This window comes from Homo sapiens, chromosome 6, assembly GCF_000001405.40.
Source record: "Homo sapiens chromosome 6, GRCh38.p14 Primary Assembly".
In the NCBI taxonomy this organism is placed as follows: Eukaryota; Metazoa; Chordata; class Mammalia; order Primates; family Hominidae; genus Homo; species Homo sapiens.
The window spans coordinates 170,395,174-170,421,972 of NC_000006.12; the positions used below are offsets into that span (position 1 = coordinate 170,395,174).

General features: G+C 46.1%; 1 protein-coding gene and 1 long non-coding RNA gene across 6 annotated transcripts in view, besides 1 other annotated feature; both read left to right on the forward strand.

The window, feature by feature from the left end:
- The window catches only part of FAM120B (family with sequence similarity 120 member B), a 116,365-nt gene extending 104,471 nt beyond the window's left edge, over window positions 1-11,894 (forward strand). For all 5 annotated transcript variants that reach the window (NM_001286379.2, NM_001286380.2, NM_032448.3 and 2 more), the window contains 3 exons: window positions 314-406; window positions 9,377-9,428; window positions 9,590-11,894. In NM_001286379.2, the coding sequence (NP_001273308.1) occupies window positions 314-406; window positions 9,377-9,417 (134 nt within the window). In that variant the 3' untranslated portion in view covers window positions 9,418-9,428; window positions 9,590-11,894. The remainder of the gene's footprint in view (window positions 1-313; window positions 407-9,376; window positions 9,429-9,589) is intronic.
- On the forward strand, window positions 413-5,596 carry LOC124901475 (uncharacterized). The gene is made up of 2 exons (XR_007059898.1): window positions 413-3,966; window positions 4,043-5,596. It is a non-coding gene; the product is annotated as an uncharacterized LOC124901475 (long non-coding RNA).
- Window positions 8,178-8,772: an enhancer, noted in NCBI's record as "NANOG-H3K27ac-H3K4me1 hESC enhancer chr6:170712439-170713033 (GRCh37/hg19 assembly coordinates)". NCBI's record gives its function as "activates a minimal SCP1, AML or CMV promoter by ChIP-STARR-seq in naive H9 embryonic stem cells {active_cell/tissue: H9 hESC(naive)}" and the evidence as "EXISTENCE:reporter gene assay evidence [ECO:0000049][PMID:30033119]".
- Window positions 11,895-26,799: the final 14,905 nt, after the last annotated feature.

Sequence of the window (26,799 nt, forward strand, 5' to 3'; positions counted from 1 at the left end):
CTGCATGGGTCCAGGGGGCCCCAGGGAAGAGGAGTGGTTGGGCTGCTCAAGTCTTTGTTTGCAGAGTCCGACCTCTCACCACCAATACCAGATTCTCCTGGGGTAGGGTTTAACACGCAGATCTGTGACTCCACTCCTGAGCCGGGTTCTCTGGGGATGCAACCCTTAAATTTGCGTTTTTTCATGACCCTCCCTCTGATTTAAGTACGGGGATACTGCTGACCTGGTGCTGCCTTGCCACCCTTTACATGCTGTGTCATTTGGGTTAAGACATTTGACAACTTACTAATCTTCTGACTATGTGTTCCCACAGGGAGGTGGGGAAGACAGGGCTCCAGCTACCACAGGACGGGCTCTGGGTATAGCCGTTCCAGTCAGGGACAGCCGTGGAGAGACCAGGGACCAGGTAAGAAGGCCAGTGGTCACTCTGCTGGGCCACCTGCATGGCACTGCCTCTCACCTTGTGCTTTTGCTGATAACTGCCTTCCTCTGTTTCAGAAAGGTTGTATAGTTCCAGTAAATAAACAGATAAATATACCAATGCATCTAATTTTTATCATTTAGTGAAATAAAGACAAATAATTTCCATGGTTGATGCTAGCCCTGTCTGCATCTGGCCACTTTATTCATTTTCTATCAGTTCATTCTGCTCAAGATCCAGTTTTTGTAATTTACTTGCTAGAAGGTACTTGTAAAGTTTACATGTGGAAGATCCATTGTTCTCATGAAAAAAGGACAGGTTATAGTGTTTCACCAATAGCTGCATTCAGGTAATAGGATTCTGATATTTTCCGTGACTTGGATTACAGTGTGAGGTAGGAAATAGCCCCAACCCTTTGTTTTTTACATATGTTGTACAGATGCTGTTTTAATGCATGTATCGTGCTGAATTTAAATACATCGAGAACTTCACATCAGTATTTGAGCTCAAATTCCGTATAGTTTTGAGAGCCAAACTTTATAAACTTTGAAATTACCTAATATTTATCATTTAATCCCTTAAAATCCAAATCAGCCTTTGATTTATGATATCTGTGACTTTCACAACGTCTAAAATGTGTAGAGACTTCGCAAGCTGCTCAAATTATTCCCTAAAACACAGCAAGTCTTCAGTGTGAATCCAGTTGACCTTTGGGGTCTGTCTCGGGTGGAGTCTGCATGGAGGCTGCGGGGCCGCACATCTGTTGAGTACCGTGTCCTTTCCTCTTGGGTCTGTACAGTCAGCAAACATTGCGAGTCCACTGTATTGCTGACTGTAGATGAGAATTGATGGTGAATGTTTTTGAAATGCCCATCCTTGAGAGAGAGCTCCATGAATTTAATGCCCATCTTTGAGAGAGCTCCAGGAATTTAGATTTACATTTGCTTGAGATGTTTCCTTGAATGAGCTTAACCTGCAGAAACTCAACCCCACCGAGTCGTGCAGTCACTGTCATGTGGAGCTTCCAGATGGCCCCACTGAACACGTGCAGTCCATCCTTTCATGGTCTCTACTACAGTGTAAACATAAGGGTCACTTCCACTTCGTCACTAACTAAATCATCCGAGTATTTATACCAGTGCAGGGCAACTGAGATCTGGGCAAAAGACCTTCCATTTGTGCAAGGATATTTGAGATTGCTTTTAACTTAGAAGGTGCTGCAGTTGATTGGAGTAAACCACAAACAGGGAACCCAAAAACAATGGGAGGGGTTTTGTAAACTTACGTAGACTCAGACTGAAGCCTGGTGCTTTGGGCCATTGCCGCTGCCCTAGGCGACTCTGGCCTTGGGGTGCAGTCCTGTGTGATGCATGTGCTGTGGCTTTCCAGTTAGCTTCTCCACCCTGGTTAAGAGTCTGCTTTCAGGTCAGAGACTGCAGCCCTGAGGTCGTGTGTGTGTAGAGAGCTCAATGCCTGTCCTGGGGGCTCCCCGTGGGCTGGGGGCCTACAGCCCTGACTTGGCGGATCTGTCTGCAGCTGGCCGTGCACATTAGGGCTGCTTGGGAAGAGTGCAGGGTCTGGGCTTCTGAGTCTTTGGGATGAGAGGCCTTCCTCACATGAGCCATGGTGAGGGTGCTCCCAAGAGGAAGGTGAGCGTGTGCAGAGCACTTAGGTCCAAATGGGTGGGTAGAGCTTATGTTCCCCCTCCATCCCTCCCTCACTCTCTCTGCTGCTTGAAATAGCAAATCTGAGATCTCCTTGACAAGGTGATATTTAAGCAAAGGCCTGATGAGAGGGTGGGAGCTGATGCCAGATGCCTGTGGGCCAGATTTGGGGGCAGAGGGGCCAGTCGGAGCTGTCACGAGGTCAGGTGGGCTAGACTTGGAGGGCCCTGCAGCTCTGTGTGAATCTGGAGTCCACCCCGACCGAGAAGCTTGACCCAGGTGATTGCAGCAGGTGGTGAGACCTCATTGACCACATCCCGCAGAAATGCTCAAGGTCTGCAGACCGACCACATCCAGCTGATGATGGCACACAGCTTGGTCTAGATCTAGGGTTTAGTAATGTCGGAAATATTGGTGTTGACTGATGTGGAGTAAAGCTACTGGGTGAAGCGGGCATCCCAGCCTCATCCATCCACACCTTCCCACCCTGGAGATCCGTGACCAGCCTGGCCGTAAATGCCAGGCCAACCTTGATGACATGAAAGCTGTTGGCCCCTCTAGGTGAGGATTCAGCAGAACCCACCTGACCCAGTAAGGCAGGCTGGCAGGGGAGGGAAGAGCCACAGCCTCTCTTTCGGGCAGACTGACTGGGCAGGGCGTGCTGTCATGTCCCCTACTCCTAGCCTCGTGGTAAGAAAGGAGACCTTCTGCTTACCCTCTTTGGCTTGGGGTTGCCCCCTTTCTTCCCCCTGGGCCTCAGGAAGGTGGAGAGGGGATAGTCAAGAGAGTCCACAGTCCAGATGGGAGGATGGGAAAGAGGCTACGGGTTCTGCAGACAGGTGTGCCTGCCTGTCACAGAGGAAACTGTAAAGAGTGTGCCATCAGGCCTCCCACTGATGGGACTCATCGCCACAGGCAACGCACTGAAACCTTTCCATCAGGCATCTGGCCTGGATAACCTTGAGTGTCCTTTCTAGCTCTGGAATTCTGTGACTTTCTATTCTATTTATTGAATGGTGGGTGAGACATTAGTAAAGTGTAACTCTTAGGAGTCAATAAGGAAGGTAGAACTATGTCATAACTCTTAGGAGTGAGTGGGAAAGGTAGAACTATGTCATAACTCTTAGGAGTGAGTGGGGAAGGTAGAACTATGTCATAACTCTTAGGAGTGAGTGAGAAAGGTAGAACTATGTCATAAGCCTTAGGAGTGAGTGGGGAAGGTAGAACTATGTCATAACTCTTAGGAGTGAGTGGGGAAGGTAGAACTATGTCATAACTCTTAGGAGTGAGTGAGAAAGGTAGAACTATGTCATAAGCCTTAGGAGTGAGTGGGGAAGGTAGAACTATGTCTTAACTCTTCGGAGTGAGTGGGAAAGGTAGAACTATGTCATAACTCTTAGGAGTGAGTGGGGAAGGTAGAACTATGTCATAACTCTTAGGAGTGAGTGGGGAAGGTAGAACTATGTCATAACTCTTAGGAGTGAGTGAGAAAGGTAGAACTACGTCATAAGCCTTAGGAGTGAGTGGGGAAGGTAGAACTATGTCATAACTCTTAGGAGTGAGTGGGGAAGGTAGAACTATGTCATAACTCTTAGAAGTGAGTGGGAAAGGTAGAACTATGTCATAACTTAGGAGTGAGTGGGAAAGGTAGAACTATGTCATAACCCTTAGGAGTGAGTGAGAAAGGTAGAACTATGTCATAACTCTTAGGAGTGAGTGGGAAAGGTAGAACTATGTCATAACTCTTAGGAGTGAGTGGGAAAGGTAGAACTATGTCATAACTCTTAGGAGTGAGTGGGGAAGGTAGAACTATGTCATAACTCTTAGGAGTGAGTGGGGAAGGTAGAACTATGTCATAACTCTTAGGAGTGAGTGAGAAAGGTAGAACTATGTCATAACTTAGGAGTGAGTGGGGAAGGTAGAACTATGTCATAACTCTTAGAAGTGAGTGGGAAAGGTAGAACTATGTCATAACTCTTAGGAGTGAGTGAGAAAGGTAGAACTATGTCATAACTCTTAGTAGTGAGTGGGGAAGGTAGAACTATGTCATAACTCTTAGGAGTGAGTGAGAAAGGTAGAACTATGTCATAACCCTTAGGAGTGAGTGGGGAAGGTAGAACTATGTCATAACTCTTAGGAGTGAGTGAGAAAGGTAGAACTATGTCATAACTCTTAGGAGTGAGTGGGGAAGGTAGAACTATGTCATAACTCTTAGGAGTGAGTGAGAAAGGTAGAACTATGTCATAACTCTTAGGAGTGAGTGGGGAAGGTAGAACTATGTCATAACCCTTAGGAGTGAGTGAGAAAGGTAGAACTATGTCATAACCCTTAGGAGTGAGTGAGGAAGGTAGAACTATGTCATAAGCCTTAGGAGTGAGTGGGGAAGGTAGAACTATGTCATAACTTAGGAGTGAGTGGGGAAGGTAGAACTATGTCATAACTCTTAGAAGTGAGTGGGAAAGGTAGAACTATGTCATAACTCTTAGGAGTGAGTGAGGAAGGTAGAACTATGTCATAACCCTTAGGAGTGAGTGAGGAAGGTAGAACTATGTCATAAGCCTTAGGAGTGAGTGGGGAAGGTAGAACTATGTCATAACTTAGGAGTGAGTGGGGAAGGTAGAACTATGTCATAACTCTTAGAAGTGAGTGGGAAAGGTAGAACTATGTCATAACTCTTAGGAGTGAGTGGGGAAGGTAGAACTATGTCATAACTCTTAGGAGTGAGTGAGGAAGGTAGAACTATGTCATAACTCTTAGGAGTGAGTGGGGAAGGTAGAACTATGTCATAACTCTTAGGAGTGAGTGGGGAAGGTAGAACTATGTCATAAGCCTTAGGAGTGAGTGAGAAAGGTAGAACTATGTCATAACCCTTAGGAGTGAGTGGGGAAGGTAGAACTATGTCATAACCCTTAGGAGTGAGTGAGGAAGGTAGAACTATGTCATAACCCTTAGGAGTGAGTGGGGAAGGTAGAACTATGTCATAACTCTTAGGAGTGAGTGGGGAAGGTAGAACTATGTCATAAGCCTTAGGAGTGAGTGGGGAAGGTAGAACTATGTCATTTACAGATGTATCATCAAGAACATGCCCCATCCTGCCCTGATCTCAGAAGGCAGGTGGAGTGGGACCTGTTTGGTACTGACTCCTCTGGGAATGATAAGAGTCACAGGCTTTTCTTTATTTCTTTCATTTTCTTCCAGAGGCGGCCTGCTGTGGTAGCTTCAGACAGGCTGACTTTGTCTCAAGCGCTGGTTCTGCCCCTTCCCAGTGGCCTGCCCTTAGGGGATCCCTGGACCACTGGGCTGCTCCCTGGCTTCTGATCAGTGTGGCCTGACCGGCTGCAGGGACGGCACCTCCACAGCACCAGCATCCAGGCAGAGGGGATCGTGGCCACTTCTTCCAAAACCAAGTTTTTCCTTTCCTGGCATTAATTCTAACATTTCTCTTAATATTTATGTCAAACTATTTTGTTAAAGAGTTTTTTCTGTTAAAAATAAAGCAATGTCCGTCCTACCTCAGTATCGCTGTTCTTGCAGAATGAAGTGAAGCAGGAACATCACCAAAGCCTGCAGGTGTGGCCTGGCGGGAGCAGAGCCATCTGCTTCTCCCAGGGCTCCCCCAGAGCATGGCCCCCAGGTCAAGTGCCAGGAAGGATGCCATGCACATTGGCTTCTTTCTTTCATGTGACGACAGAGACTACAGGAGCATCTTTAAACTAGACCAAAAGAACCCCCTTCCTTGGATTGACAGGAAGCAGCTTTCTTCCGATTCTGTTAGCAGAGAACAGTGTCCAGAAATTTCTCATCCTCATGCAAATTAAAACAGCATAATGACTTTCCATAGGCGGAATTGTAGCTAGTCATCCTCAGCCCTGGGTCCCTGCCAGGGGAAAGTCTCACTCTTGGAACCCTGTGTGCCTCTGCAGCAGATCCCTCGGCCATCCAGTAACAGGAACCCCCCAGTCGCCCCGGTCTTGCCAGAAGTCCAGAGGCCACCATGGTTTCCTCGTCCTGCCTGATGGCAGCTCCTTGGGGCAGGCTGAGCTAAGCCTGAGGGGTCTCCAAGTGGCATTCAGCAGCTGGTGTGTGGGTGAGGAGAGAGCCCTCAGATGGACACAGGTTTGGGGGTGACAGGACATGGGGGGCTGGCAGGAGACAGACAGAGGCAGTGTCCCATCAGGACTGAGCTGGAGAAGGAGGCCGTCCAGAAGCTGGCAGAGAAGAGAGGCTCTGAGGATAGAAGCTGACAGAAAGGGCCAGGGAGCAGGGAGGGAGGGAGCAAAGGCCGCTGTCCCCTGCAGGAGCCAGGACAGGCACCGCCAGTATCTCCAGGAGTGCTTATTTCTTACTTCTTTCTGCCTGTAATAGTATAAGCTACTGATAGGAAGCAGAAAATTTATACAGGCTGAGTATCCCAAGTCTGAGATCCAGAATGCTCCACAGTCCAGAATTTTTGCCCACCAACAGGACACTCAAAGGAAATGCTCCTTGAAGCATTTTGGAATTTCGGATATTCAGATTAGGGTTGCTGAACCCCGGTAAGTATAATGCAGATATTCCAAAATCTGAAAAAAATCTGAAACCTGAACTACTTCTGGTTCCAAGCATTTCAGAAAGGGGTTACTCAGCCTGTAGTAAACAACCCAGGGCTGCCTCCGCAGCCTGCATCTGTGTGGCTTTGGATGCATGAGTGGCCACAGGCCTCCCCAAGAGGCACTCTCTCTTCCCCGAACATGCCATCCTCCCTCAGGACTCCCTGCGCCCTGGGCTCTGTGGGCCCTGCACCCTGCGTGTCCCACGCTTCAGTCCCTCATCATCTTTGCTGTGTTCCCACTGCTGAGGGTGCTGTGCACGTCCCAGGATGGACCTAAGGAGGCAGGCTCAGCAGACGAAGGCCCCTGTTTGTGCGCCCTCTTAAATATTAAATATTAAATCTAGTCTTGCTTTAATATTTGCTTCCTGTAGATTCCCGAATCCCTGAGCTGGTCCGCAAGGCTGTGGGGGTGGCAGAGGTCCTCCCTAGACTCTGCATTTTGCCAAGCTTTCCATAGCATGCCCAGTAATTTGCTTTTAAATCTAGTACGCACACCTGTAAGTACCACTTTAGCACAAGCTTCATTTCTGACATACATTTCTTTAGGATGTCATTGACAAATATAAATAAAAAGCCAAGTAACCAAAGTGAGTTAGTAGCTCTTCCTGACCCAGAAAGGAGCACGGAGGAGATGTGAGCAGTGGGCACAGGAGCAGTGCGGGCACGCTGGCCCTGCTGAGTGAAGCACGCGTGACCAGGAGAGCAGCTCCACACCTGTCTCTGTCGCCTCGTTCCTAAGTCACTATTAAGTGAAGTGGGCTCTCCCGGGCTCTGCGGAGCCCACAGCCCTCCAGAAAAAGGAGGAGACAGTTGGGCTACATGGCGTGAACTCCAGGTGTAGGGTTCCCTTCTCACCACCTACAGGACCACTTTGAATTTCAGGAATGATTTGGAACTCGAAGGAATGTTTGTCAGTCTGGGTGCAAGGCCTAAGGGAGCATGTTTTACCACTTCTGTTCTGGTCACTTAGAAACAATAAAACTGTAATGACCTCAGCAGCTGGAGCCTAACACCACTTCAAGGCTGTGCCCTAGTTTCATAAATAGGTCTTTGAAGAAGATCCCTGCTTTATTGGAGTAGATCATAACAGTAACACAGAAATCAAAGAGTGGTGATGCGTGTGGGTTTGGGGCCAGAAAGTAGCTCTGGGAGACTCTTAGGTTAAAGGCAAAATTGAGATGTTAAATGCTGAGTTTGTGTCAGATTTAAGAGTTTAGGAATGAGAGTGGGAGAAATTAAGCCGTTCTTGCAAGACAGAAGCAAGGATGCTATATTTCATTTGCATTCTGCCTTCCATGCGGAAGTAGTTACAAAAGTGATATTAGTGGTGCCTGTGTGTATTCTAATTTCAGAGATTCCAGTATAAAGTGTATGTTATACACACATGCACACACACTGCTCTCATCAGGACTGGAATCTGCTTTTCAGACCAAGTAATCCACCTTTTCAGTTGTAATTACTGTGAGGGAGTTTGGGGCAGCACATTTCTCCTGGGTTTTGCCTACCTTCAACTCCTCTTTTGGTATTTCTTGAAGATATTAAAGTAGTTCAAGTAGAAAGTTGTCACTATTTCCAGGGCAATTGATAGGTAAAATTTCTTGTGTTAGTAAAAAAACTAAAAATGCCTCTTCATGAAAGTATTCAGTCACTGCCAAAAGTTGTCAAGTTTCTGGAGCCTGAGTGTGTGGACAGGTAGGGGGTCCTGGGGAGCCTGGCCTGAACTCTCTGGTCCACTTCAAAGGCCTCAGAGCTCAGTGCAGGCAGCTGCCCCGAGAACAAAGGCTGCTCAAGTGAGAAGGCTTTAACCTCTTCCTTGCTGTTGCTCAGCCCCGCTGGAAAGAGATGACGTGTTAAATTCCACAGTCCATAGCTACAATTTGCCTGTGATTTTCCAGATTGTCACTTCTCTGTGGTGATTCTGTAGGAGGCCTGCCATAAAACTGCTGTGATCATCTGTGGTAACAAGGGTGGGGGCAGAGTAACAAGGGTCTGGAAACCTCACTTTGGCTGTAGCCCTCTCCTTTCACACCTTCTGCCGGAGCCCACACTTTTGGGGGAGGGGAGAGACCCAGGCTGCCCACGGCAGGAGTGGGTCAGAGGAGAGGCATGGAGACCATCCCCAGTCACGGCAAGTGAAGGCTCTTGCCGTCATACACCAGAAGATAACTCAGAGCAGGGAACTCTGGAAGAAAAGTGTTATTTTTAAAATGTGAAAAACTGTCACCGTTTTTGCTACTAGTAGGGAGGTTCTGCCCCGAGTCTCTTCCCAACGTTCCCTGTCTATCAGAAAGGCAGACAGTAGCCACCCAGGCTGGGCCAGCCGCAGAAAGAGCTGCACGTGGGCTTTTCTGTGTTGGCAGAACGTCCATGGTGAGCCATCTGCATGTGAATTTCCATTTCCAAAAGTCGTCAGCAATAGTAAATGCCTAGAAATCACGCAGATGGATGGAGCTGGTGTGAAGAGGAACAACTTTGACATTGTTTCCTTCCACGAACCTCTTAATTAATTGCTTCCACTTTAATGGAATAATTATGGAACACAGTTTTAATGGCATGTGGCCACAACTGTAAAGAGGATAAAGCTGTGTCCTCCAAATACAGCTCAGCATCTTTGTTCATACTTAGAAATGTGCAGCATTCTTGTTTGTGTATTGAGAGAGATTTAATTCTTACTTTGGTTTTCATGTCTGTTTACTGCAGGAAGCAGACAGTATGAGCATGACCAGTGGAGAAGGTACTAGTCAACCTCCAGGTAAGTTCATCACCTGCATCTCCAGAAGAAATCAGTCACATGTCTGTCTTAATAACATAAATCTTCCATATCAAGTACCAAAGTAAACAGAACTCAGATATTGAATCCTGCTGACCTGGTGCCGAGTTAACTTGGTTTCAAAACACTCTTGCTTCCTCCAGAAAGAGTATGGAGAGAAAAAGAGGCACACCTGGACGCAGAGCCCTGCCAGCGCCCTCCTCTGCTGTTGCAGCTGCAAGGAGACCATGCCTGTGGGAGCCAGGCCTCGCTTGCATGAAGAAGGAACGATGCCTTTTTCAATGGTGTCTCCCTCCCATTGTGCAGAAGAGCTTTTGTTGGCTTCTCTCCCGAGCTTGTGCCTGATTCTGTGGCCCAAAACAATCATTGTTAACATCTTCATGTGTTTCATTCTGATCTTTCATTCATATATATGATGCCTAGCTAATTTCATTTTAAAATAAATGGGAATCTGTTGTATTCTGATTTTTTATTAGCAACACTAGATTATGAGGGGTTATCTCCTGTTATTAAAAAGTCAGAAAACACTATACAGTAGTCCTCCCTTATCTGCGGGGGAGACATCCCAAGACCCTCAGTGGATGCCTGAGACTGGATAGTATGGAATCCTACATATCTATACCTTGGCTTTTTCCTCTACGTACATACCATGATAAAGCTTAACAAAGAACAGTGAGAGATTAACAGCAACCAATAACTAATAAAAGCTATGTGAATGTGGTCTCTGTCAAAATATCGTGCTGTAATCACCCTTCTTGCTATCTGAAAACCAAGAAGACCACTAAGTGACTAATGGTCAGAGAAGCTGGATGAGGGGCTGATTCATGTCCTGGGCATGACAGAGCGGGAGGCACAAGGTTTCATCACACTATTCACAATGGCGAGCAAGTTAAAACGGATTTCCCATTTAATTTAATTTTCAGACTTCAGTTGACCATGAGTAACCGAAACCACAGAAAGTGAAGCTGGGGATATTTCAGAAATTCTTTTCTAATCAGAAATTCTAATCAAACATAAGTTTCCAACTATGTGTTCTCTTGGTCCTCAGAAGTGTTTGAATAGAAAAGTAACAACTAACTTCCCATCTTTCTGGTGGAAGAGTTAATTCTGCCTGGAGGGTTCTGCCTGGGAGACATGACAGCATGTGTGTGACTCCTGTGTCTGTTTCTGTGGGGTCATCCCTTTCGTTTCATTTTGCCAGGGCCTGGCTCAGGATTTTTTATGGCAGTGCCTGTGAAGACAAGCCTGGCCCTCCATCCAGTCACACAGGAAATCCACAGAGAGCATGCTGAGAGCAGCCAGCGGCTGGGCTGCCATCAGGCCTGGTTTATGATGCCACAAGTGAATGGCACGTTTGTTCCTCTTTATCTCTGAGCATTGAAGGACTTTTGGTTAAAAAAAAAAATTAAGTTCAGAGTAATCCTTTTCATGGAAGAATCTTCAGGTCACCAAAGAATTGAAATTTTAAGCCCCAGATTGTACTGAGCTGTACCTGTGGGAAAAGGAATGGCCAGGGTATTGATGATGGAAAAGATTCAAATGAGGAGTTAGAAGGCAAGCCCTCTGTGGGCAGCCGTCTTCCAGAAACCTCGAACTTATGTCTGTCTCCACCTGAGAAAGGAGAAGAAAAGCTGGTGGTGACCCCTGCTCCTGCTGGGCCATGCCATGGCTCTGAAGATGCCCCGTGTTCTTAGGAGGTGCTCACCCCTGGCACCTAAAGACATTTCCTTCTGGTTGTTGCTCTTTAAAAACAAAATAAGCCCCTGAACGTGCTTGCAGGCCAGTTTGTGTGCCTGCACTTGACGAATTACCTTGACCAACGGGCCAAAGGCACAGAGCTCCAAGGCATCATCTTTCCTTAAAATCCTGAGTGTTTATTAAAAAGGGACATGGTCTCTAGGTATCTTATTACATTTGTATTTCTTACATTTGAAATATCCTAACCGCTCCCTTCGGTTTCTTCTTAAGAACATTTACATCTAATTATTTTTCGTGCAAGTCTTGTAGGACCCACATGTTTTCCTAGCTTTGGAAATCGATTTTTTTCATTCCTCTTATGAGGATTTCCCTATGTCAGTAAACATTAACTTTCTATTTCTTCCATTTTTGCTCATTTGAAACCCCTGCTGCTTCTAGATCTATTTCTTTGCACTTGTATAACTTTGAAATAAATTCCTCATCCCTTAGACTAAGAGAGTGGGTGTCTGTGAAAATTGTTTTCTCCTTCATAATACCTAAATTCTAGTTTGTCAGTAAAATATTTGTGTTTGGTTAACAAGCTCTTATTTAAGCCATTGAGTTAGTATAATCTTTATTACCTTTGAAAAACCAGAGAGCTGAATTTTTTGTCATTCTAAGTTGTAAGTAACACTGCAGTCAAGTCTTCTGATGAAATTTCCATATATCAAATTGAAAATAAAGCAAAATATATTTATTACTCATAACTAATATACTTTCACATTTCTCTGATTATTTGTAAGACATTTCAGCATGTGGATGTGGGGAAGGGTGAGCCTGCCCCAGAAACATCTCCCTGCTGCCACCATGGCCACGGCTCGGCAGTCTCCCTTCACTGACTCCTGAAACTCCACGTAAATCTACCATCACCCACCCCTTCTTTGACCGTTCCCTGCACCTTCTTGCTCACAGAAAGCTGGTGTTTCCCCCATTCCTCGGTGCATAGAGCCGACACCCCTCACATTCTTGGCCTGTTTCCAGGCTGTTGTAGTTGCTTCAGCACGTGGTGGTGCACAACACCCATTCGATCGTGCTCATAGATTCTGGGCGTTGAGTCCAGGCAAGGCATGGCAGGCACCACCTGTCCCGGCTCCCACGTCTGGGCTTGGCTGGAAGACCTGGAGTCAGACGAGTCTTCGTTCTCGCCTGTATCTGGCTCATGCTGGCTCTTAGATGGGGCTTGTGTCTCTCCATGTGAGCCTCTCATTGGTCCTGAAGACTAGTTAACTGATAACTGGATGGTAACTGGATTCTGAACACAAGCTTTCCAAAGGCTAAAGAGCCAGGTAGAAGCCATGTTACTCTTTATAGCCCAGCCTCCGAAGTCACAGCATCCAGCATCTCTTCTGCCATATCCTGTTCATCAAGGCAAACAAAAAAAAAAAAAAAAAACCAGTCCAAATTCAGAGATGAAGTAGCTGCTTCCTCTTGGCCAAGCAGGACAGAGTCCCAGGAAATCATGTGAGACCAGAAGTATTACTATGGCCATTTTTGGAAAATATGGTCTGCTGCACACACCATTTCCCCTTCTCCATAAAAGCCACAAACTTGGAATCTCATCATCCAACCTTGCCACCCACCAGTCCTCCCTGTTGGCCTTTGGGTTCCTGGCTGTCACTCTTCCCAGTATGACTCTTGTAATAATTTCTGGCAGCCTTAGTATCCTGCAGCTAATCCTTCTGGTGCCCTGCTCTCAGTTCCTTGATGTCCCCTCCCAGTGATCTTGTTCTCCACCTTTGGCCTTGTAATTACCAGTTACTCAACTCCTTCGCAATCTCAGTCCCCAATACTCACTCTCCAGCCACACAGGTCATTACCTCTGGCACATGGTGATTCCTCCGTCAGACAGGAGCTGGTGCATTGACCCAGCACACTGCAGCCGAGTGCCTGTCATCATTCCTGGTCCCTTCCTCACCTGTTCTACCCTATCTGCTGACTTCCGTGGTCAATGGAAGTGACTTTCTTATATACACTACATTGCCTCTCTCATTTTACTGTATCTATGTGGTAAAACCACACACCTAGGTTAAATCCAACTCTGCTTTTAGAATGTGGCTAGAGAAAATCCCACAGTCATCCTTACTGGTCCCACCTTAAATCCAGTGAGCCCTGGGTACTGCCCGGTGGCCATTCCCCACTTCCCCCTGCGCTCTTCAGATACTTGGTTCGTGTCCTCTGCTCAGCCTTCCAGCACTACTCCTGTCCTCAGTCACAGGTGACAACTTTGCTTTCTGTAAGTTCTCACAGCCCTGTTTGCTAGCCTTCAAGCATCTGCATCATCAAGTCAGAATTCATAAACAGAATACCAGTAGAAACAGACAAATCCACAACAGAGGGAGTATCTACTTTTTAACCTACCACATGGATGAGCTGACTCTGCCCCTACCTAAGGCCGTCTCTCCAGCTGTGAACCCAGGGTCCCTCAGCTGCTCAGACAGCCCCAGACAGCCCCTTGCCCCTGAGTCATCAGCGGTGTCCTCTCCATGCTGTCCCCCCCATCTTACAGAAAACCTCTGCAACCTGCTTCTCACTCCAGCAGCCACATCATGTTTCTTTACCTTTATAGAAAAATAATGCTGAGCCCAGAATCCTAAGGTCAGCCAAATTAGCATTCTACACTAAGGAAAAATTAACACATTTTCAGGAATCAGAAATTCTTTGACCCATAGAGCCTTTCCAAGAGAAAGTGGATAGCAAAATGAGCACATCTAACGGGAATACATGGACAATGAGAAACAATGTTGAGTAAAGAAATTAGTAAAATTTCAGTCATTGCTAAACAACTATTAACCCAAAGTGAAGAAGCCAAACAATTGGAGACTAAATTTCCATATTATTTCAAGGAAAGAGATGAATGAGGGCAATGAGGTAAAAAGAAAAATAAAAGCATACTAAATTTCTTACCTTGCTTAGAAAGGATACAAATTTTTATTAAATCTGGATGTTTTTGGAAAAATGTAAGTTTATGTATGTATGCTAAAATGTTAAGCATGCACATTAAAAGAAGAAAAGTAAATAATAAAAGGAAGGTCTTTATCATAACGTTCATGCATCTGGCATAATAAATGAAAATTACAAGCAAAATACAAGGAGAAATAGACCCAGTAATAGGACACTTAACATGCATTTCACTCTCAGAAATCAAAAGATTTTGTAAACCAAAAGAAATGACATACATTTGAGTAAGTCAGTAAACAAGCTTATTCTAATAGAAATATACAGAACAAATAGATGCCTTTTTATTAATATTCTCAAACACAAATGGACAGTTCACAAAATTTAACCATGTAGTAGACCCCAAAGTAAACCTCAATCAAAATACTGAAAAGCCAATTTACTGAAATCACACAAGCCTATTTTCTGCCCTTAAGACAATAGAGGCCAGGAGCGGTGGCTCACGTCTGTAATCCCAGCACTTTGGGAGGCCGAGGTGGGTGGATCACCTGAGGTCAGGAGTTTGAGACCAGCCTGGCCAACATGGAGAAAGCCTGTCTCTACTAAAAATACAAAAATTAGCTGGACGTGGTGGCAGGCGCCTGTTGTCCCAGCTACTCGGAAGGCTGAGGCAGGAGAATTGCTTGAACACGGGAGGCGGAGGTTGTAGTCAGCCAAGATTGCGCTACTGCACTCCAGCCTGGGTGACAGAGCAAGACTCTGTTTCAAAAAAAAAAAAAATACAATGATAAATCAACAACAAAAGGATAAAAAGCAAACATTTTTCCACTTAGAAATTGACTCACCATTTAAAAATATTTACTGAGGAAATCTAAACCAAAATTACTTTTAGAAATAGAAGTGTTACCTTAAGAAATTCATGGGAGGGGAATGATATCAGAGAAGATGGCAGAGCAGGAAGCACCAGAGATCCATATCCCCACCTAGACAAAAATGGCACAAAATGGCAGAAACTATCCAAAGTAACTATTTTGGAACTCGGGAGTCTACTTGACAACTTGCAGCTTCTAAGGGGAAGCTTGCCTGGTAAGTTATGGTTAGTTTCCATCAGTTTTGGATGCCTGGTTCCCAAGTGCATGGTAGACAGCCATGCACGCATTCCTGGTGCAGTTTGCTGGAGCCAGGATGAGCACTAAGGACCTTGTTCTCCAAATACCAGGGCTCCGTGTTGTGATTGCTGCTTTGGATCACTGAGTTCGAACAGAGACTGGGCACCATTGGTTCTGCCCACACTGGCTAAAGCACCTTCCATGGGATCTAAAGGAGTAATACCTGTGGGTTTCTGTGGATTTGTTTTCGCTTTTTTGGGAGTCAGGCATTTAAGGATTAGGACATTCAAGAGCAACCATATATAAGGGAAAATTTAGAAAGCCACAGCACATGGCCAGGGCAGTGACAGGCTCAGAAAAGACCTAAGAGAACTGAGAAGTTTTTCCCTCAGGCTGGTCTTCACCACAGAGGCACCCTTTAACAATCAAAAAGCAAACCCAAGGGGAGAAGGATTATCTGATTTCCAGAGGTACAACGTTATAAGATTCAAATGTCTGTTTTTCAACAATAAAATCACATGGCTACAAGAAACAGGAAAGTATGGCCCATTCAAACAAAGAAAAATAAATGGCAGAAAGTATTTCTGAAGAAGCCTAGACATCAGGCTTACTAGACAAGACTTTAAAACAGCTGTCTTAAAGATGCTCAAAGAAAACATGGACAAAGTCCATTGAAAATGTATGAACAAAATGAGAATAACTCAATAAAGAGATAGAAATTACAAATAGGATCCAAAAAGAAATTCTGGATCTGAAAAGAACAGTAACTGAAATGAAAATTCACCAGAGGAATTCAAAAGCAGAACAATAAAGTATTGAGCAGGCAATAAAGAATGAACAAACTTGAAAATAGGAAAATTATTGAGCCTGAGAAATGGAATGAAGAATGAAGAAACGTGAACAGAGCTTAAGGAACCTGGGGAACAGCAAGTGGACCAACACACATTTCAGGGGTCTCAGAAGGGAAAGAGAGAGAGAAATAGAATAAATAATTCTGAAAACTTCTCATATTTTATAAAAGACATATAAATCTTCAAATCCAAGAAACTCAACAAACTCCAACTAGGATAAACTTAGAAAGAGACTCATACCAAGACACATTATAGCCAAACCATTGAGGACCAAAGGCAATCCTGAGAGTGAGAAGTTACTCCTCAGAGAGATTACAAGGGACCTTCAATAGAATTATTGCCAGTTTATCAGCAACCTTGGAGGACAGAGAGCAATAGGTAGATACATTTAAAATGCCAAAAGAAAAAAAACACTGTCAACTGAGAATCATCTATCTGACAAGACTATCCTTCAAAAATGAAGGAGACACTCCCAAATAAACATAAGCTGAGGGAGTTCATTACCACTAGACTTGCTGTGCAAGAAATGCCAAAGGGAAATCGCTCAGGTTGAAATGAAAGGGCCCTAGACAGTAACTTGAAGCCACATGAAGCAGTAAAAAATCTCCAGTAGAGATAAATATATGGGCAATTATAAAAGCTAGCATTATTATAATTTTGGTTTGTAACTGCACTTTTTATTTTCTACATGATTTGAAAGACAAATGCATAAGAAACAACTGACTAATCTACATTATTGGGTTCACAGTGTATAAAGATGTCATCTGTTTCAACATTGTCTCCTACAAGAATTCATTAGCTTGATTTCCCAGCCTACTTACTCTTTTTTAATTTGAGGTTTAATTTTTTCAAAGTAAAACATTCACATAGTTTAGAGAGTCAAATAGTTCTATAGGCTGTTTTTAAAACACATCAGTCCCTTTCTGTGTTTCCCAGAAACACCTACTTATACTTTCAGCTTTTCAGATGATTGTTTCCTAATAATCTGTGTATTTCTAAATAATATTCCTATTGCTATGTCTTTATTTTCTGTTTTAGGAATTACCTCTAGTGCTCACTATAGACATCAAAGGATTTCCTCTCTTGCCTCTCATCTCACTGCGTTTCCCAGTTCTCCCGAATGGTTTTAATTTTACTTAGTTTATAGTACTATTTCCATGAAATCACTGTTCACAGCTAAACTAAATAATTATAATTACTTTTACTTTTTCACTTATCATTTGTTTTTCCCGAGATTCTTGTTTTTTTTTCTGTGGGTTTATTTAGTTTTCTATACATTTATCATAATTTCAGTTCTCAGTTATAGAAATCTCATTTCAGTATACCTATACATTAGGTATCCTGTCAATTTCATCTTCTCGACATATCTTCTGCTCACTGGCCCAACCCTGCCTTGTGAGCTGTGGCTGTTATCCCTCTCTCTGGAGTTGGGGCCCTGAGTCCCATACAATCCTCTTTCTTGATTTATTTCCTTCTCCTGAGAAAAGAGGAGAATAGGGAATATGTTTTTGAGGCCTTGCAGGTCTGAAAATGTCTTTATTACACTTTCATATTTAATTGAAAGTTTACCTGGTTGTAGAATTCTAGGTTGGAAATAATTTCTTAGAATTTTGAAGGCATTGCCTCATTGTCTCCCTGCTTCCACTGTTACAGGCAGGCATCTGATGCTTTTCAGGTTGTCGATGCTTTTCTGTACCAATATTTTCTCCCTGGATGTTTATAAGGTCCTCTGTTTGTCCCTATTTGTGTGAAATTTTGTGATGAGAGGCCTTAGTGTGGGTTTGTTTCTACCTACCATGCTGGGCACTCTGTAGAATTTTCAGTTTGGCCCCTCAGTCCTTCCATCACAGAACACATATCCTAGCAACTTAAATTGGCCTGACCAGATGGCGGTGTGATTGCCTCAGTTCATCTTTGACTGTTAGCCTCATTATTGTAGAGAGTGTCCAATCAAACCGTCCTACCTGAGCAGAAAGTGCAAGTGGTGTCTTCGCCACAGTTTCTGTCCCATCCTTAGCATCCTTGGGAGGAGGAAAATGGGTGGGAGGGTGTCTGACTTCTTCCCAGGTGGCCTTGTTATAATTTTCTGGAAACTTCTTCCAGAATCCTTCTGTCTTGCCTCTTTCTGCTAAGCCTCCCTTCACAGTAGAAGCTGGTTTTGGTGTGCTGCCTCTATGTCAGTGAGCTTCCTACCCCTGTCATCCAATTCTCCACTTAAAAGACACAGCTCTTTCCATCTTTTCCCAATATTGGAAGCTTCCGCTTCAGAACCAATGTTCAAGATTTTGCATTACTGAGATTTCACTGCATTTACTTCAACTTTCCATGTCTTTTATTTGCCAACTCATCTCTGTCATTTCCCCTCTACAGGCTTGAGTATGTGACTCTGACCTGTGGTGAGGAAAGTGTTCTCCCCCACTCTTAAGGAGGTTGGGGTGGGTGAGCTTCCTTTTGAAAGGACCCAAGTGTGGCTGCCCTGTGGTCCTGGGGCACCTGGCAGTCCAGCCTCTTGGTGCTTCCAGTAGAGGATCCCATGGGAGAGGCCCAGCCCCTAGAGCCCTCAAGCCCCACCTCCCATTGCCAGTGCTCCTGTCTGCAAAGGTAGCAGTGACATAAAGCTAATTTATTTCTTTCAGATCTGGAAAAGTTTTCTTGAATGATTTCTTTGATGATTTTCTGCCCTCCATTTTATCTGTTCTGTTCCCCTTCTCAGAGGTCAGACACTATATCATAGTTCTGTAATGATCTTATATTTTCTCTCTTAATATCTGTCATTTTGCCCTACTTTCTGGGAAGGTTTCTCAACTTTATCGTTCATCCCTTCTATTAATTCTTTAATTTTACTGTTTCTAAATTGTGAAAGCCCAGACTCTTCCTTTTTTGTTGGAAAGTCTTTGTTTCATGGCCGCAGCACTTTGTCTTCTATCTCTGAGGAAATTGTGTCAGTAGTTTTATTTTGTTATTTCATAGTGTCCTTTGTAGATACTATTTTTACCAAGTTTCTTTTTCTGTTTATTTGGTTGTTTCGGTCTGTTTTCATTTTCAGTTTTTTCCTCCAATGCCTGGTGATTCTTGAATGTCTTGTGTTGTGTAGGAGCTGGGCTTTAAAAAGGTGGCCAAAAACCTGCCTGCCTGGTTGGGCCTTCAGCTGTCTTGTCAGTCATGGGGTCCTTGGGGAAGTCCTGATCCTAGAATTCTTAGCTCTTTCATGGTGGGCTGTCAGTTTCCTTAGATAAGAGTCCTCTGGTCTGTTCTTGGAGACACAAAGAGAATGATACAGTTTAGAAATTCTAGAGAAGCTCTGAGCCTTTGAAACTAGGGGAGGATAGGAGGTGACAGAGGAGGGCCTTGGGACGATCTCTAGGCTTCTGACTTGAGTTGGGCTCAGATTCCGCTCCCCCCCCCCACCCTCCCGCATGACCTTAGGAAACGCAGGGGAGGAGGACACAAGCAGAGGAGAAAGACACAGCTTTGAGGACCCCTATGGCTGGGCAGCTGGTGTAGGGCCAGAGGTCTTGGCTCAGTGTCTGCCGCCTGTTAGCACAGGGCGTGGGCAGGACAGCCACCTTGAATCTGCACGTGTGTCTGAGAGGATAACACCTCCCCCAGGATTAAACAAGAGAATGTGTATCCATAAAGCATCTAGCCTTACACAGCACGGTGAGCAAACACCACCGTATTCGCAGTGGCACAGCTTCTTTCCAACACTAGAGGCGCGCAGGCCCGTCAGGCTGGACACAGGCATGGCAGGGACTGGCACCACTCAGGAATCTTGTAGAGACCCAAGAATAGAACCTGGGAACACCAGCACTCATGGGTCTATTGGAAAGGGTGAGTCTACAAAGAGGGGCAGGGAGAAAACTGATCACACAGCACCACAGGCCATTAGAAAGGGCACATCCCAAGGAAAGACATGCGGTGTCCCTGAGATGCCAGTGATCCATAATTAGTCATAGGTTAAAATGGCTGAAAATGTGATCTTTGGTTTCAGCAATTAGGAGATCCATAGTGATGGCTTCGATCTTCCTTTCAGGAAGGGAGGGAGCAGGTCTGAAGGGCATTCTAGAATTAGGTCAGATATGTACATAAAAAATAGAACAGTTTTCCCAACCAATCTTAACATTTCTTACAAATCCACAGATTGGTCACTTTGCCACATTTACACACACCTGGAGTTCAGCCAGTGTACTCAGAAAGGGAACTACAAGTGACAGATCCACAAGTCCACAGTCGACAGATGCTCAGCCTCAGCCACTTGCCTTTCCTGGGGCTGCGTCCCACGCCCCAGACCCTCCTGTTGCAGCCTCACTCTCTACAGGATGAGGGAGAGGTTGATTCTGTCACCCATCCCAGGAGTCAGCTTGGACTATCACATGATTGCTGGTGTTTTAGGTGGCCCAGCTGATACCTACTTGCCGGAATAGGACAGAACCCTTTCAGGGCTGAAGAAAGCATTGTTTAAAAACTTGGACATTGAACATAAAGTCAATACATCTTGCTTATTCTACAATCAAGGCATATGATGAAATTCACCGTGCATTTTACACAGATGCCCAGTACAGATGTGTTGCGTGGCATCACGTGGACGTGGCTTAAGCTGCTCTGCTGTGCTGTGCATCCTACATGCAGCAGTTAGAGTGGGGCTGACTCTTAGAACAACAAGGAGTTGAAGCAGAGTGGAGACACAGCTCAGGGGGCTTCAAAGGACCTTCTGGCAGACACTTCATCAAAAACAACCTGCTGGCCACATAACAGTCTCACTGATCTTCACCCTTAAATACAATGATTGTGTTTAACTTAAATATTTGTAAATTTTTACATAAACATGGTGAATGTGTTTTCAGAAAAGAATAAAGAAAGGAAGAACCATCTTCCTGTGGTCAGCAGAGGTTTGTGCTCTACTAAGTAGCTGAGAGCAGCCTCTGTGAGCTCTCTCCTTTGGAAAGGTGGAAAACAGCAGGAACACCTCTCCTCCATTCCACATGTGCCCTGGCCACATTTGCAGCACCAGCTCAGCATGCGGTGTCCTCTGACAGCTGCCCTCAAACCCGTCACCCTTGGGTTAGGATGCGATTTCATGCAAGTCATTGTCACACTGGCTGGCTTGATACATACGTGTCTGGTGCAAGTTTATGGAGATGTGCACATCAGTGCATATGCTGTGACTTCTTGTTTAAGTTTGTCTTCTTAGAAATGCCCTTGTCATTAGCTCATGAGCTCTCTATTGGAGAGAGGAAGTGACTGGCCTGACTCGGGGCTCATAGAAGATGACCTGGTGGCACACACAGGGGTGGGCAGGAGTGTGCCCGAGGCCCCTCCTCCATTCCAGCATTTCATCTGCCAGCGCCTCGGACGAGGCCACCACACAGAGGAAGCACTACAGCCTCACAGACTGAGGGCTTGGCGGCTCTCCTGGGTGTGTGGCAATGTCCAATAATGCAGCCTTGTGACTTCTTCTTCTACAAATGGTCTGCTATTACTCGCAAGAAAACATAACTGTTTGCTTTTGGTTTTCATCAAGACCTGTTACTAAAGTTCGAGAGTTGGTAAGGCTGTAGGGCTTCTAAGACAGCCCTCCCAGGTGACAAGCGGAGTCCAGTGAGGTTTGCATGGGGTATTGTGACAGCGTCATCACCTGGCTCAGCTCTGCACTCGGCCACCCTTGGTTTTTGACTCCCTAAGACAGTGTCATCATCCTCAGGGAAGTGGGTTTGCTGCAGTTCAGGATTTCTCCAATTCAACTCATGTGTACATTCCCTTGGAAAGAAGAAAAAGTGTGGAGTCCTGTGTTGATTTGTGATTGCTAACCTAATGTTATTTAAATATGTGCAAACATAAATTAGATTCCTTATGCTTAGGGTTCTTTCTTAATACAACTTTCAATCTAAGGCATCACAGAAGTGAAATGAAAACAAAATTATAAACACACACTGTTGTTGCCACAACCCCCAGTAGCTCTCCGGGCCAGCCAGTGGCTTCTGAGGCCAACCCATGAGCTTCACCCAGGAAGAGGGCTTCACACCCCATGATGGTTGACTGGAACCTCCTTCTGGGGGCTGCAGGGCAGGGGACAGCAGAGCAGAGAGGCCCAGGGAGGGGCCAGGTGTCAGGAGCTGCAGAAGCTTAAGACTGTGCCCAGGGCACCCACCATACCACCGTCTGGGCCCTGTTCCTTCCTACCCCTCCTTCCCCACGTACCTGCGATGTGAGCCTCACCTGAGCCAGAGCACCCCCCGACGTGCCACCCAGCTGCACGCCAAGTGTTGACTAAGGTCGGTGGTACCGGGGACAGGATTGCGAGGGGGACCCTGCTTCATCTACATTGTTTAAATGTCTGCAGCAAGAATGACTTCATGCATCATGTGATTGAAGATACAGAAAAAGAGGATGGCCAGCAACCGTTTGTAAGCCTCAGATAAAGTGTCAATTTTTAAAGTACTCATTGCTTGGATTTAATTAATCGGACTTTTTTTTCTTTAAGTTTCAGCACCCTAGGGACGTGTATGTTAACTTTTTTCATCCATTGAACTTTTTGTTTAAACTTTCAAGCTCTCAGAAAGAAAACTAAGTAGGCCCTGGCATTTCCTGACTGCCACACAAATGCCTACCTTCTGTGTGTGGTGGGTCCATCTCTGCTCCCATGGTATGGAAGTAAGACCTGTGACCGTGAGCTGGCTGCACACACATGTGGCATGTGGTGTAGCTTTCACTTACTTCCATCTTCTCAGAAAGAGCTGCACTGTGGCCCCAGCTTTCCACCGTGCCAAGGCTCCTTACACGCATCCTCATTTTTGGCTTCAGGAGGAGAAGGCGCATGGCTGGGTCACGTGCTCACTCAGCAGAGGAGGCACTGGCCACTTCTGTGTCCTCCGGATGCCCCTGCTATAGGGAGAGGCAGCAGCACATGCGGGTCATCTTCCCAGAAGTCGGCGGCTCTTGGGGTTCTGGAGCATTGAACTTCCTCCTGTTTGATGCTACATTGAACCCCCAGGGTACAGCCTCGTTCTCACCATCTGCTTCCTGTCACACAAGCAAGAGCTGCTGGGTGCCTTTTCCATCTTGGTTCCCATTTTCCAAATGGTCCCAGAGGGACTTAGTAAAGCATTAGAAGAGCCCAGAGGCTGGAAGCAAACACAAAATTGACCATGAAATTTAGTCAAACGGTGATGAAATTTAGTCAAATGTTGATGAGATTTAGTCAGTGATGAGATTTAGTCAAACGGTGATGAAATTTAGTCAAACTGTCTTGAAACCAGCCAGTCATTGGAAATGCCCTGATTTCTTCCTTTTCCCTCACGTTGAGCCAAGTGCACGAGCTGGTCCTGGCTGCCTGGAAGGCTGCTGGCCATGTGCCTCTGCAGCCTCCCGTGCCGTCCTCGGGCCCCGTGGCCTGTGCTCCTGCTCCAGCCCCCATTTCCCTGACGGCCCTTGCTGCCTGCATGGCTGATTTTGCTCCTGCCATTGCTGCAGTAACGAAGCGCAGTGGGAAAGCCCCTCAGCCTGTAGAAACAGCCCTCGGCGGCCGGGCGCGGTAGCTCACGCCTGTAATCCCAGCACTTTGGGAGGCCGAGGCTGGCGGATCACGAGGTCAGGAGATGGAGACCATCCTGGCTAACACGGTGAAACCCCGTCTCTACTAAAAATAAAAAAAATTACATGGGCGTGGTGGCGGGCACCTGTAGTCCCAGCTACTCAGGAGGCTGAGGCGGGAGAATGGCGTGAATCCAGGAGGTGGAGCCTGCAGTGAGCCAAGATGCACCACTGCACCCCAGCCTGGGCGACGGAGCGAGACTCCGTCTGAAAAAAAAAAAAAGAAAGAAAAGAAAAGAAACAGCCCTTGGCTTGCAAGCTGTTCATTTTTCTGAAGGAGGAAATTGAAGGGTGAAATCAGCCTTTCTAAGAATCTGATTCATCTCATTATTGCCAGCATTATTAGATGTTAGATAAAAAACAGTTAATTTCAACCTTTTCTACCTGGCACGTTATCTGAACTAAAAAGAAAGAGAAGCAGCAGCCCTTCAAAAATAGATTTATCTTTATTTCTTTATGGCTTCCCAAAAAGTCTCTTTTATCTGTGGAAGCTGGAGTAAGAATAAACCCCATAAGACACATTATGAGAGACTGAGGTGATTTCTGTTGGCAGCACCCACACCCTGGGTTGGGGTCCCTCAGGCCTCACCCTAACCAGGAGACAACCTGAGAACCCAGGGCACTGCGTCCACGTGTGACCGTGGACATCAGGAGAGCACCGGCTCTTCACTGATTACAGCTTTGCGTTTCCCCACGGGGGCCACTGAACTTTAATCACGTTTTCAATAAAACCAGATAAAGTAGTCAGGAAGGTCATGCGGGTCATATGTTTCCCCACTGGCTCTCTCTACGATTTCACTGTCTTCTGATCCCATCTTATATGAGACACATTTAATACCAAGAGTGAAAGGGGCCCTGGGTGTGTTTCTCGGTGTCCACTCAGCCCTCTGCCCCTTTGTGAGCATCAGGTTTATACGTTTTTATGAAATGGTGGGAGACAGGCTCTCCCTTGATGCAGTCCCTGTAGCTATAAAAATATGGACAATGCAGATAATTCTGTTAAATTAAGATACCAATTCGTCTATTAAATCAATTGCTTCCAGCCACAGCCCTTGTTATTCAAATCAAGACAAAAAAAAGTCTGTGGAGTGTGAGGAGGCAGCTGAACCTGTCTCTTCCAGAAGCTCCTCTGGGGATGAGAGATGGGCAGGAAGCAGCGTGTGTTTGTGACGGAGAAACGTGAATTCCATGTGAAAGGGAGTATGTTTTCTAACTTGGGGTTGGAGTTGGCTGTCGGGAAGCTGGTTCTGAGATGGTGGTGTCGGTGCTGGAGGTGCCACCCCTCGGGAGGCTGTCTGGGTTCTAAGGTGGCAGCACAAATTTACAGTTCTAGAACTGTATTTCTATCTGAAAGGGTTTAACAGTCAGATGCTCTTTTTTTCCTCAGAAATCCTCCTCTATCTTTGCTACTTTACAATATTCTGGGGTTTTGTACATTTCCTGGCAACAATTTGACCCTTCCATCTCAAAGCTGGTTTAAAGGAGCGTTCACCATCGGTTGGCATGAAGTGAGACCGAGCTGTCAGCTTTTCATAAAAGTTCTCCCAGCACAGAATCGGCTGACTCCTAAACTAAATATTTCTGCGTTTATATATTGCTTTCCTGTTATGTTTGGATACTGGAAGACTTTTTTCTCTTACGAAAAAGCAGCAGGCACTCATTGAGCCATGAGGGTTGCCAGGGTGCTGTGGGTAAGTGACCAAAGACAGAAATCAGACGGTCACAGACAACACAGCTTCTGTCCAACCCAGTTACCCTCCAGCAGCAGGTCTCATTCTCCTTGGTCTCAGACCCCTTTACACTTAAAAGTTATTGCAGATTACAGGTCTACCAGAAAAATTTTAAAATATGTATTTATTCATTTCAAAATATCAGTACAGCAACTACATGTTAATGTTGTTTTTGCAAAAAGACTCTATGTTTTCCAAAAAAAAAATTAAAAGAGCAGCATTCTTTTACACTTTTGCAAATCTGCATAATATCTGAATCCCATGAAAGAGGGCTGGGCCACATGCAGACTCCTGCAGTCAGGCCACGGCAATGTGTTGTTCTGCTGTTGAAGTCAAAAAGAAAAGTCAGGGAGGTCCTTGTTAGTCGCCTTTTCAGGCAACTGCGGACTCTTCCTTGATACCACATCAAAACTCAACAAGCCGTCATCCTCTAAAGACCACGGTGTAGAATCTGAAGCCGGTCGGTGACCGCGTGCCTGCTGCTGTATCACAACACGTTGGTCTGTCCTGCACTTTGAATGAATCTTTTTCCTGTGAACATCATGTTTGGGTCATGTGGAAAATACTGGTTCACTGAGTTACGGAGATTTTCCAAATGCTGACACAGTTCAACAGATGGTATTTTTAAAATCACGTGTACAACGTACAGGGCCTCGTACGTTGCAGACCGGTTGTGTCCACAAGCGTGCTGCCTGTGCCGGATGCCAGGGCCCAAAGATGAGTCTACCTGGGCCTGCCCACCAGAAGCTCATTCTTGGGCAGGGCAGACAGTAAGACGGGCGACCCATGTGGGCGAGGTGACAGCACGGACTCAGGTAACCGGAAAAAAGAAGACGGTGGCGTGCGCTGTGAGCCGGGTGGGCGGGATCCGCGCGTGCGCTGTGAGCCGGGTGGGCGGGATCCGCGCGTGCGCTGTGAGCCGGGTGGGCGGGATCCGCACGTGCGCTGTGAGCCGGGTGGGCGGGATCCGCGCGTGCGCTGTGAACCGGGTGGGCGGGATCCGCGCGTGCGCTGTGAGCAGGGTGGGCAGGATCCGCACGTGCGTGTGCTATTGAGGACCTGCGTCCAGTGTGCGGGAGGCGGAGATGAACCCACAGAGCAGGGCGCCTGCCCTTGAGGACCTGCGTCCAGTGTGCGGGAGGCGGAGGTGAACCCACAGAGCAGGGCGCCTGCCCTTGAGGACCTGCGTCCAGTGTGCGGGAGGCGGAGGTGAACCCACAGAGCAGGGCGCCTGCCCTTGAGGACCTGCGTCCAGTGTGCGGGAGGCGGAGATGAACCCACAGAGCAGGGCGCCTGCCCTTGAGGACCTGTGTCCAGTGTGCGGGAGACAGAGATGAACCCACACAGGAGGGCGCCCGCCCTGGGCAGCAGCAAGCCTTCCCCACCCACCAAACAGAACCTGGCCCACGAGTGTTTCACCACCAGGTCTGATCTGATTTAG